The following is a 12,533-nucleotide window of genomic DNA, read 5'->3' as shown; positions in this document are numbered from 1 at the left end:
GACCCAGAAATCCCAAGAGCTGTGAAGCCCCTGCACCCACCCTTGCTGGCTCAGTACCTTACTTTAATGAGAGAAGAATAAGCTTCTGCTATTTAAGCCCCGATGTTAGGGTTTTCTGTTTTATTGTGTGTTCATGCCTCTCAGAATCCCCAGGCCATTGGGATGAGGGTGAATTCTTCCCCAGAGAGTTTGCCCTAAAAGGGCTCTACGTATGGGTATGTGCTTAAAATTATTGTTTTTTTTTTTTTTTTGCATGGGTTTTCCTGGGACATTTGACATTTGGGCAGTATATTTAGTTTGCTGGGACTGTCATGACAAAATACCACAGACTGGATGGCATAAACAATAGACATTTATTTTCTCATAGTTGTGGAGGTTGGAAGTCCAAGATCAAGCAGTTGGTGGGGTTAGTTTCTCCTGCGGCCTCTCTCAGGGGCTTGCACTCTCACTGTGCACCTTCTCACTACATCCTTATATGGCCTCTGGTGTGTGAGTATCTGTCATGTCTCTTTGTGTGTCCGAATCCCCCCCCCCTCTTTTTTTTTCCCTGAGATGGAGTCTCTCTCTGTCACCCAGACTGGAGTGCAATGGTGCGATCTCAGCTCACAGCAGCCTCTACCTCCCGGGTTCAAGGAATTCTCCTGCATCAGCCTCCTCAGTAGCTGGGATTACAGGTGCACGCTACTACACCTGGCTAATTTTTGCATTTTTAGTAGAGACAGGATTTCACTGTGTTGGTCAGGCTGGTCTCAAACTCCTGACCTCGTGATCTGCCCCCCTCAGCCTCCCAAAGTGCTGGGATTACAGGCGTGAGCCATCGCGGCTGGCCAAATCTGCTCTTTTTATAGGGACAGCAGTCAGATTGGATTGGGGCCCACCCTAACAGCCTCATTGTAACCTCAACCTCATTATCTCTTTGAAGACCCTGTCTGTAAATCCAGTCACATTTTGAGGTACTGGGTGTTAAGGATTCGACATATGAATTTGGAGGAGGGACATAATTCAGGCCACAACAGATACTATAAATTAAAGTTCTAAATCAGGATTTTTTAAACAGGCTGTTGCCTGTAATCCCAGCAGTTTGGGAGGCTAAGGTAGGAAGATTGCTTGAGACCAGGATTTTGAAGCCAGTCTGGGCAACAAAGGGAGACCCTGTCTCTACAAAAAATTAAAAAATAAATCCAGCTGTGGTGGTACATGCCTGTGGTCTCAGCTACTTGGGAGGCTGACATGGGAGGATCACTTGAGCCCAGGAGGTCAATGCTGCAGTAAGCAGTGATTGCACTACTGCACTCCAGCCTGGACAACAGAGTGAGACCCTGTCTCAAAACAAAACAAAAACAATACAATAAACTCTGCTCGTGTTTATGAGTTTAAGAATTCTCAGGGGAGATTCCATTTTTTACACCAAATCAAAGCCTAAATTGACAAGTTTTTTTTGTCAGGACCTTTGACAAGACTTGGGAATTTTCAGTGCTGTGAATTTCTGAGGGTATAGGCCCTTGAGGGTTCCTGCTTTAGGCAAGAATCTTAGCAGTAACTCAGACCTGGGCTCCTGTTCCTCATTCGCTGGGGAATCACTTGCTATTTGGGGTTTTGCCTTGACTTCCTTTGGGGCTTTTGTGGATTTCCCTTACCTTCTTGTGAGCAGATTTATAAAATTTTTAAGGACACTCTTTGGAGGAATAATTTTAGATTTACAGAAAAGTGGCAAAGATAGTACAGAGAGTTCCGTGTATTGTGTTGACATCTTGGACCATTTGTCAAAACTGAGAAACCAACATGGGTACATCACCATGAGCTAATCCCCAGACTGCATTCAGATTCCACTAGTTTTTCCACAAATGTCCTTTTTCTGTTCCAAGATCCCACCATACATTTAGTCATCAGGTCTCCTTACTTTCCCTAGTCTGTGACAGTTTCTCGAAACTTCCTTATTTTCTTTTTCTTTTTTTTTGAGACAGAGTCTCACTCTGTCACCAGGCTGGAGTGCAACAGTGCCATCTCAGCAACCTCCGCCTCCCAGGTTCAAGCAATTCTCCTGCCTCAGCCTCCTGAGTAGCTGGGACTACAAGCACACGCTACCACGACCAGCTAATTTTTTATTTTTAGTAGAGATGGGGTTTCACCATGTTGGCCAGGATGGTCTTGATCTCCTGACCTCGTGATCCACCCACCTCGGCCTCCCAAAGTGCTGGGATTACAGGTGTGAGCCACTGTGCCCAGCCCCTTCCTTATTTTCAATGACCTTGACAATATGAGGAATACTAGTCAGGCATTTTGTAGAATGTCCCTTAATTTGGACATATGTGCACGTATATGAATTTTATTTTTATTTTTATGTATTTTTTTGAGACAAAGTCTCACTCTGTCGCCAGGCTGTAGTGCAATGGCACTATCTCAGCTCACTGCAACCTCCGCTTCTGGGTTCAAGAGATTCTCCTGCCTCAGCCTCCCGAGTAGCTGGGATTACAGGTGCCCACCGCCATGCCTGGCTAAATTTTGTATTTTTAGTAGGAACGGGGTTTCACCATATTGGCCAGGCTGGTCTCGAATTCCTGACCTAAAGTAATCCACCCGCCACAGCCTCCTAAAGTGCCATATATGAATTTTAAAAGATGCCTAGCGGTCATACTGAGCCTATCGAGGTGCATGTGGGAAGAAATGCTACCTAGTAATGCCATGTGGTGCTGGAAGAGGAAGTTTCTACTCTTGGATTCTACAAGTTACCCAATATGCCGCACATAAATTCATTTCCCCTTGAGTCTCACTTGGCTAAATAAAATAATAATAAATTTTTAAAAGTAAATTCATTTTCCCTCTTACGTTTGCCAGGGTTGGTTTTTCTTGCTTAATTCAAAGAACCGGATGACTAATTCGGAACCTCTAACATATTACCCAGTTACTTTTCCCACAACCCCCGGCCCCGCCCCGTGTCCCCCCAAACCCCCTACCTCCCCTACCCTACTCTTGTCTGTTTTCTGGCAACATCAAATTTATTACATTCTTAACATTTTAAGATTCCTGCAAAACTCATCAGGACTTTTCCCATTTACATCATTCTCTGCGCTTACTCGAATGCCAGTGCCAAGACCACAGGTAGTTTTATGGTTTGCTGGGCATTGCTTTCTGTTCAAATTTCTCTGTTTGTTCTGGGGCAGTGTCTGGAACTAGGGAGCTTGGAATGGGAGGGTGGAGGCAGAATGAGTCTCAGCAGAACTCTATGGCTCAAGGGTAAAGCAGTTGAAGAGGCATGGGGTTGTTTCCAACCAAGGTAAGTGGACAGGGTCAAAAAGAGAAAGCTGTGGGGGGAAAAGGTCACGAAAGTTTTCCAGCCCAGGTGAGAGTGCTCCCAACTGCAAAGACACAAACACACCTGCTTCCCCAGGCAAGAGGGCTGCCTCAGTGCACCCTGCCCCCAGCAGGCAGAAAGGAAACCTTGGACCCAGTGAAACTTGTCCTAGTCATTGTCCTAACAAAGAGCAAAGGCAGCTGACTCTTTTTTTTTTTTTTTTTTTTTTGAGATTAGGTCTTGCTCTGTAGCCCAGGCTGGAGTGCAATGGCGCTATCATGACTTACTGCAGCCAGAACTCCTGGGCTCAAGCAATTCTTCCATCTCTGCCGCCTCGCTAATTTTATTTTTTATTTTTTTATTTTTTTGGTAGAGACAGGGTCTTGCTTTGTTGCCTGGCTGGTGTTGAACTCCTAGCCTCAAGTGATCTGCCCGACTCAGCTTCCCAAAGTGCTGGGATTACAGGCATCAGCCACTGCTCCCAGCTGGGAACTGACATTTTTGAGCATCCACTATGTGGCAGGCACTTCTGTGAAGAGTTTACCTGTCTGATCTAATCCTCAAGACGCTGAGAAATAGGTGGAGGTTATTTCCCAGCTTTACAGTAAACAAAGTGCCAAGGACTGAGTTGCAGAGCCAGGAAGTCTGATTTTGAACCCAGTTCTGTCTGACACCGAAGTTTATGTCCTTTCCGGGCAAGATGGGGCAGAAGAAAGAGGGTAGCTTGAGAAACTTCCTGGAGCTGGAGGCCATAGGTCAATGGTGGGATCTTGGAAAATGAACTTGAATTCTGTGAGTGGAGGTTTCCACATGTATAAAATGGGTAGAATGAAACCTCCCTCACTGGGCTGACATGAACATTAAAGAATGTGATACAAGGCCGGGCACGGTGGCTCACGCCTGTAATCCCAGCACTTTGGGAGGCCGAGGCAGGTGGATCACGAGGTCAGGAGATCGCGACCATCCTGGCTAACACGGTGAAACCCCGTCTCTACTAAAAATACAAAAGAAGTAGTGGGGCGTGGTGGCGGGCGCCTATAGTCCCAGCTACTCAGGAGGCTGAAGCAGGAGAAAGGCATGAACCCGGGAGGCGGAGCTTGCAGTGAGCCGAGATCGCGCCACGGCACTCCAGCCTGGGTGACAGAGCGAGACTCCATCTCAAAAAAAAAAAAAAAAAAAAAAAAGAATGCAATACAAGAGAAGCATGCAGAACAGCGCCCAGCATAATGCTAGCTCTCCTTAACATACTGTAGCGTTGGCCAGGCGTGGTGGCTCACATCTGTCATCCCAGCACTTTGGGAGGCCGAGGTGGGTGGATTACTGTAGGTCAGGAGTTTGAGACCAGACTGGCCAATACGGTGAAACCCTGTCTCTACTAAAAATACAAAAAATTACCTGGGTGTGGTGGCACATGCCTGTAATCCCAGCTACTCGGGAGGCTGAGGCAGAAGAATTGCTTGAACCCAGGAGGCGGCAGTTGCAGTGAGCTGGGATTGTGCCACTGCACTCCAGCCTGGGCAACAAAGTGAGAAAAAAATGTATATATACACACACACACACACACACACACACATATATATACACACACACACACACACACACACATATATATATATATATATATATACTCACACACACACGTATATATACTGCAGCCTTTATAATTAATGGTAATACTAGGAGCAGGAGTAGTATTCAGGTTTGTATTCAAGTCTTTTAGTTAACAATGCTATCATCTCTTCGTTCCCACTCTTTTTTTTTGTTTGTTTGTTTTTGAGACGAAGTCTCGCTCTGTCGCCCCGGCTAGAGTGCAGTGGCGCTATCTCGGCTCACTGCAAGCTCTGCCTCCCGGGTTCACGCCATTCTCCTGCCTCAGCCTCCCGAGTAGCTGGGACTACAGGTACCCGCCACCACGCCCCGCTAATTTTTTTGTATTTTTAGTAGAGACGGGGTTTCACCGTGTTAGCCAGGATGATCTCGATCTCCTGACCTCGTGATCCACCCACCTCGGCCTCCCAAAGTGCTGGGATTACAGGCGTGAGCCACCACACCCAGCCCGTTCCTGTTCTTTTATTTATACAATAACAACAGGCATTATGGGTGCCGAGCACACAGCAGGGAATAAAACAGACAAATCTTCTGCTCTCAAGGAGCTGACTTCCTAACTTTTCCCTGTTATATTTTCCTGACAATAAACACAGTGTATTTGTCTGTTCTTGCACTGCTATAAAGAAATACCTGAGACTGGGTAATTTATAAAGAAAGAGTTTATTTTATTTATTGTTTTTTTTGGAGATGGAGTCTCACTCTTATCACCCAGGCTGGAGTGCAATGGTGTGATCTCGGCTCACTGCAACCTCTGCCTCTTGGGTTCAAGCCATTCTCCTGCCTCAGCCTCCCAAGTAGCTGGGACTACAGGCGTGTGCCACCACGCCCAGCTAATTTTTGTATTTTTTAGTAGAGATGGGGTTTCACTATGTTGGCTAGGCTGGTCTCGAACTCCTGACCTCGGGTGATCTGCCTGCTTCGGCCTCCCAAAGTGCTGGGATTACAGGCATGAGCCACCACACCTGGCCAAGAAAAGAGGTTTAATTGGCTCAGGGTTCTGCAGGCTGTACAGGAAGCATGGCAGCATCTGCTTCTGGGGATGCCTTAGGGAGCTTTTACCCCGGAAGGCAAAGCAGAAGCAGGTGTCTTACATGGCAGGAAGAGGACCATGGGCGGGGACATGACATACCACACACTTTTTTTTTTTTTTTGAGACAGAGTCTTGCTCTCTTGCCCAGGCTGGAGTGCAGTGGGTGCAATCTCCGCTCACTCCAACCTCTGCCTCCCGGGTTCAAGCAATTCTCCTGCCTCAGCCTCCTGTGTAGCTGGGATTACAGGCATGTGCCACCATATCTGGCTAATTTTTGTATTTTTAGTAGACGTGGGGTTTCACCATGTTGGCCAGGTTGGTTTTGAACTCCTGACCTCAAGTGATCGGCCTGCCTCGGCCTCCCAAAGTGCTGGGATTACAGACATGAGCCACCGCACCCGGCCTGTGTCACATACTCTTTTTGTCCCCCCTGAGATGGAGTCTAGCTATGCCACCCAGGCTGGAGTGCAGTGGCACGATCTTGGCTCACTGCAACATCCACCGCCCAGGTTCAAGCAATTCTTCTGCCTCAGCCTCCTGAGTAGCTGGGATTACAGGCACCTGCCACCACACCAACCTAATTTTTGTATTTTTAGTAGAGATGGGGTTTCACTGTGTCGGCCAGGCTGGTCTCGAACTCCTGACCTTGTGATCTGCCCACCTCGGCCTCCCAAAGTGCTGTGATTATAAGAGTGAGCCACCGCACCCAGCCTTTACCACATACTTTTAAACAACCAGATATCACAAGACTTCACTCACTATCTCAACACAGTACCAGGAGAAAATCTGTCCCTATGATCCAAACACCCCACCAGGCCTCACCTCCAACATTGGAGATTACAATTCGACATAAGATTTGGGTGGAGACACAGCTTCAAACCATATCACATGAAAACACTGTAAACAAGTAACCAGGGATCAGCACATCTCTTCTTAAAGGAAGGGATAATAAATATTTTTTAGACTTTGAAGGTCATATGGTCTCTGTTGCAATTACTCAACTCTGCCATCAGAGTGAAAAACAGTCTTGAACGATGTGGAAATGAATGGAAGTGTTTTAATAAAACTTCATTTCTGCAACAGGCTTTGTGCCAAATCGGCCCCTTGAGCTTCAGTTTGCTGACCCCTGGGGGAAAAAGAAAAAAAGCATACATAATATCATTTCATCGAGTGATGAATGCTGTGAGGAACATCAGGTGGGGTGGGGGTAGGTAGGACTGATGTGTCAGTGCAGAATTAGATAGGCTGATGGGATAACATGTGAGCTGAGTCCTCAGTGAAGAGACAAGGCAGTCATGCAGAGTGAGTGGGGGTAAGTGGAGGGTGAGGAAACACTGCAGGTGATAGAAACACAAGTGCAAAGGCCCTGAGATAGGATCAAGCTGCATGGCTGCTGTGCTCTGGGCACAGGGAGGCCGATGTGGTTATGGGGTGGGGATTGGAGGAGACAGAGGCAGGAGGCAGGTCCCAAAGTGCTTTATCAGCCTCAAAAGGATCTGGTAGGTGGGGCGCAGTGGCTCACGCCTGTAATCCCAGCACTCTGGGAGGCCGAGGCTGCTGGATCACCTGAGGTCAAGAGTTCGAGACCAGCCTGACCAACATGGCAAAACACCATCTCTACTAAAAAGGCTGAGGCAGGAGAATTGCTTGAACCCGGGAGGCAGAGGTTGCACTGAGCCGAGATCATGCCACTGTACTCCAGCCTGGGCGACAGAATGAGAATCCATCTCAAAAAAAACCCAAAACAAAACAAAAACCAACCTAGGCTACATGGTGAAACCCCCACAGCTACAAAAAAAAGAAAAAAAAATTAGCCAGGTATGGTGGTGCAAACCTGTAGTCCCAGCTACTCAGGAGTCCAAGACAGGAGGATTGCTTGAGCCAGGGGGTGGAAGTTGCAGTGAACCAAGACTATGCCGCTGCACTAGAGCCTGGGCAACAGAGCCAGATCCTGTCTCAAAAATAAAATTAAAAAAAGAAACAGAAAACTCCCTCATTCAAACCCCTCTCCATCTCACAGTCTTCTCTCTCCCTACCTCTCTGGAGCTCTACACCTTTTTATCTTCTTCTGAATGCCCAAAATTACCCTTCCTTTTCTTCCTGAAGGCTCAGGTTCATCTCTCCCGCCCTGTGATGGTTGAAACTACCACTGCCACCATGGAGATGCCTTCTCCTCTGAGGCCCAAAATCTCTTATCTTCTTCAGCAATCACCTCAAGCTCCTTTTGTCTGTGCATGCATTTGTGTGATCTCTTCGGCTAGATGAAAAATTGGTTATGCATTACTTCATTTGTTGAGTCTAAACCTGCCAAGGGCAAGTACAGTAACCTACGAAATAGCAGATGTAGGCCAGGCGCGGTGGCTCATGCCTATAATCCCAGCGCTTTGGGAGGCCGAGGTGGGTGGATCATGAGGTCAGGAGATCGAGACCATCCTGGCTAACACGGCGAAACCCTGTCTCTACTAAAAATACAAAAAAAAAAATTAGCCGGGTGTGGTGGCGGGCGCCTGTAGTCCCAGCTACTCGGGAGGCTGAGGCAGGAGAATTGCTTGAACCTGGGAGGCAGAGGTTGCAGTGAGCTGAGATTGCACCATGGCACTCCAGCCTGGATGACAGAGAGAGACTCTGTCTCAAAAAAAATAATAAAAATAAAAAAACAAACAAAAATCAGCCATGGTGAGAGTATTTACACCAGAGAAACTGGTAAGTGTTGCAGATCACAGCTAACCTCTCCAAAGAGTCAATTCTCCAATGTTAACCAGCATACTACTAATTTTAAACCAGTTGAATGGGAGTTTAAAGCAAACTTTCCAGTTTGTCTTTTATGACTCCACCCACACACTCTCTGCCCTAAGCGCTCTGAACTTGGTACCCTTTGCTAAAAATGCTTCTCATACCTCTGGGTCCTTCCATATGCCATGTGCCTAGAATGTGCTTTCCTGTCTTCGCCATTTGGTGGACTCTGACTCGTCCATGGAGCCCTGGTTCAAGTACAGCTTTCTTTGGGAATTTTCTTCTGACTCCCTGTATGAGTTTGCTAGGGATGTCATAACAAAATAACACAGACTGGGTGGGTTAAACAACAGAAATTCATTTTCTCACAATGCTGGAGGCTGGAAGTCCAAGATCAAGGTCTCAGCAGGGTTGATTTCTCCTGCAGCCTCTCTCCTTAGCTTGCAGACAGCTGCCTTCTCACTGCATCCTCATGTGGTCTTTCCTCTGTGAGTGAGCATCCCTGGTGTTTCTCTGTATGTCCAAGTCTCCTCTTCTAAGGATAGCAGTCAGAATGGATTAGGGCCCTATATTAGTCCATTTTCACACTGTTGATGAAGACATATTGAGACTGGGCAATTTACAAAAGAAAGAGGTTTTGAAATTGTCCCTAAAAGAGCAGGCAGGTTCATTTTTCCTCCTTCCTTATTCCTGCCATGCCCTGCTGCCGAGGAAGCAAGGTTGCCTTCCTGATGGGTGAGGCTGAGGGCCACACCAGAATACTGGTGAGAGAACTGCAAGGAGCTGGTGTCCTGAGTACCTTAAGGAACATCCCTGTCCTCCAGCCTTTTAAAAAAATTATTGTATTAGTCCATTCTCATACTGTTATAAAGAGCTACCTGCAACTGGGTAATTTATGAAAAAAAGAGGTTTATTTGACTCACAGTTCCACAGGTTGTACAGGAGGCATGGCTGGGGAGGCCTCAGGAAACTTACAATCATGGTGAAAGGTGAAGGGGAAGCAACTACATCTTCACATGACCAGCAGGAGAGAGAGAGTGAAGACAGAAGTCCTCCACACTTTTAAACAACCAGATCTTATGAGAAGTCACTCCCCATCACAAGAACAGCAAAGGGGGAAGTCCACCCCCATCATCTAATCACCTCCCACCAGGCCCCTCCTCCAGCACTAGAGGTCACAATTCAACACGAGATTTGGGTGGGGACACAGAGCCAAACCATATCCATTATTAATTTTTAATTTATATAAATAGAGACGAGGTCTCACTGTGTTGCCCAGGCTGGTCTTGAACTCCTGGGCTCAGGTGATCTGCCTACCTTGGCCTCCCAAAGTACTGGGATTTACAGGTATGAGCCACCATGCCCAGCACTCCACCCTTCATGAGAGAAAAATAAGCATATTTGCTTTAAGTCACTGTTTTTGTTTTGTTTTGTGTTGTTTTTTTTTTTAAGACAGAGTCTTGCTCTGTTGCCCAGGCTGGAGTGCAGTGGCTCACTACAACCTCCACCTCCCAGGTTCAAGCGATTCTCCTGCCTCAGCCTCCCGAGAAGCTGGGATTACAGGCATGCACCACCACACCTGGATAATTTTTGTATTTTTATTTTTATTTTGAGACAGAGTCTCACTCTGTTGCCCAGGCTGGAGGGCAGTGGTGCGATCTCAGCTCACTGCAACCTCCACCTCCCAGGTTCAAGTGATTCTCCCGCCTCAGCCTCCCGAGTAGCTGGGATTACAGGCACCCGCCACCACGCCCAGCTAATTTTTGTTATTTTTAGTAGAGATGGGGTTTTGCCATGTTGACCAGGGTGGTTTTGACCTCTGACCTCAGGTTATTCACCCACCTTGGCCTCCCAGAGTGCTGGGATTACAGGTGTGAGCCAGTGTGACTGGCCTAATTTTTGTATTTTTACAAATACAAAAAAAAAAAGTAGAGACGGGGTTTCACCATGTTGGCCAGGCTGGTTGAAGTCACTGTTTTTTAAACATTTCTATAAGGTACCAATGAAACATGTCATTCTGTAACTTTTCTTTTACATATTCATACCTCCACATTAATACCGATATATTAATCATTTTTGCTGTTTGATAGTATATTGAATTAAAAATGGCCACAATGGAAAACAGTCTGGCAGTTCTTCAAAAAGTTAAACATAGAATTACCATGTGATTCAGCAATTCCACTCCTAGGTATATTCCCCACATAACTGAAAACAGGTACATGAATGTTCGTAGTAGCACTATTCACAGTAGCCCCAATGTGAAAACAACCCAAATGTCCATCAACGGATGAATGGATTGTAAAAATGAGGTATATTCATATAATGCAAGGGTGTCCAATCTTTTGGCTTCCCTGGGCTGCAATGGAAGAAAAATTGTCTTGGGCCATACATAAAACACACTAATGATATAGCTAATGAGTTTTTTAAAATTGCAAAAAAGAAATCATAATGTTTTAGGAAAGTTTACAAATTTTTGTTGGGTGGCATTCAAAGTCATAGGTTGGACAAGCTTGATATAATGGAATATTACTCAGGTGATAAAAAGGAATGAATTCACAACATGGATGAACCTTGCAAACACTATGCTGAATGAAAGAAGCCAGTCTAAAAGGTCACCTATTGCATGATTCCATTCACATGAAATATCCAGAATAGGCAAATCCACAAAGACAGAAAACAAATGAGTGGTTAATGGAGGCTAGGGGTTGACAGGAATCAGAGAAGTAATGAGTATTGGTTTAGTTTTGGAGGGATGAAAATATTCTGGAACTAGAGAGTGGTGATGCTCGTACAACACTGTGAATGTACCAAATGCCACTGAATTGTACACTTGAGAATGCTAAATTTGGAGTTATGTGAATTTTACCCTTCCCTCTCCCACCAGTGGCCACAGATTCCTTGCAATTCCTTCCATCAAGACAGTCTGGGATCTGGGCCAAGCTCCGTGGCTCACGCCTGAAATCTTAGCACTTTGGAAGGCCAAGGCAGGCAGATTGCTTGAGTCTGGAGTTCGAGACCAGCCTGGCCAACATGGTGCAACGCTGTCTTTACTAAAAATGTAAAACAAATTAGCCAGGCATGGTGGGCTAAGGCAGGAGAATCTCTTGAACTCGGAAGGAGGAGGTTGCAGTAAGCTGAGATCATGCCACTGCACTCCAGCCTGGGTGACAGGGTAAGAACCTGTCTCAAAAAACAACAACAAAAAAAGAGTCTGGGGTCTGAGGTCTGGGGTCTGGGCTGGCTTTATGTCAGGCTTCGACCAATTAAATATGGCAGAAGCAACTGCACAAGGTCTTGCAGCTTTTGCTGTCATCCTAATGCATTCCTGAGACTGTCGTAGTGTAAAGGCCACGTGGAGAGAGTGAACCAGCTATCCAAGCCATCCCCATGAGCTCCTGTCCTGTGCGGGAGGCCATCCTAGATCACAAGACACAGCTGAGCAGCTAACTGACTGCAGTCACCCGAGAGAGCCCAGATAACAGCACAGAGGTCAAGCCCCATCAAGAAATAACAAGTCATTGTCTTCAGCCACTTAGTTTTAGGTGGCTTGTTATACAAAACAGACAACTAACACAAAGAGTATGTCACTATGCACATTTACCATAGTTTGCTTAACCTATCTCCTTCTGAGAGGCTTTTAGGTTGTGTCCAGGTTTTTAACCAACTTTCTTTCTCTTTCTTTCTCTTTGTTTCTTTGTTTCTTTCTTTCTTTCTCTCCTTCCTTCCTTCCTTCCTTCCTTCCTTCCTTCCTTCCTTCCTTCCTTCCTTCCTTCCTTCCTTCCTTCCTTCCTTCCTTCCTTCCTTCCTTCCTTCCTTCCTTCCTTCCTTCCTTCCTTCCTTCCTTCCTTTCTGACGGAGTTTTCACTTGTT

At 46.2% G+C, this 12,533-nt stretch overlaps 1 annotated feature.

Moving 5' to 3' along the window:
* Nucleotides 5,128-5,412: a silencer, noted in NCBI's record as "fragment chr5:16951303-16951587 (GRCh37/hg19 assembly coordinates)". NCBI's record gives its function as "represses an EF-1alpha promoter that drives an FKBP-Casp9 reporter gene in an ReSE screen in HepG2 liver carcinoma cells {active_cell/tissue: HepG2}" and the evidence as "EXISTENCE:reporter gene assay evidence [ECO:0000049][PMID:32094911]".

This window comes from Homo sapiens, chromosome 5 (assembly GCF_000001405.40).
Source record: "Homo sapiens chromosome 5, GRCh38.p14 Primary Assembly".
Classification (NCBI taxonomy): Eukaryota; Metazoa; Chordata; class Mammalia; order Primates; family Hominidae; genus Homo; species Homo sapiens.
The sequence above is the reverse complement of the archived record's forward strand: the minus strand, read 5'-3'. Positions and strand labels throughout refer to the sequence as shown.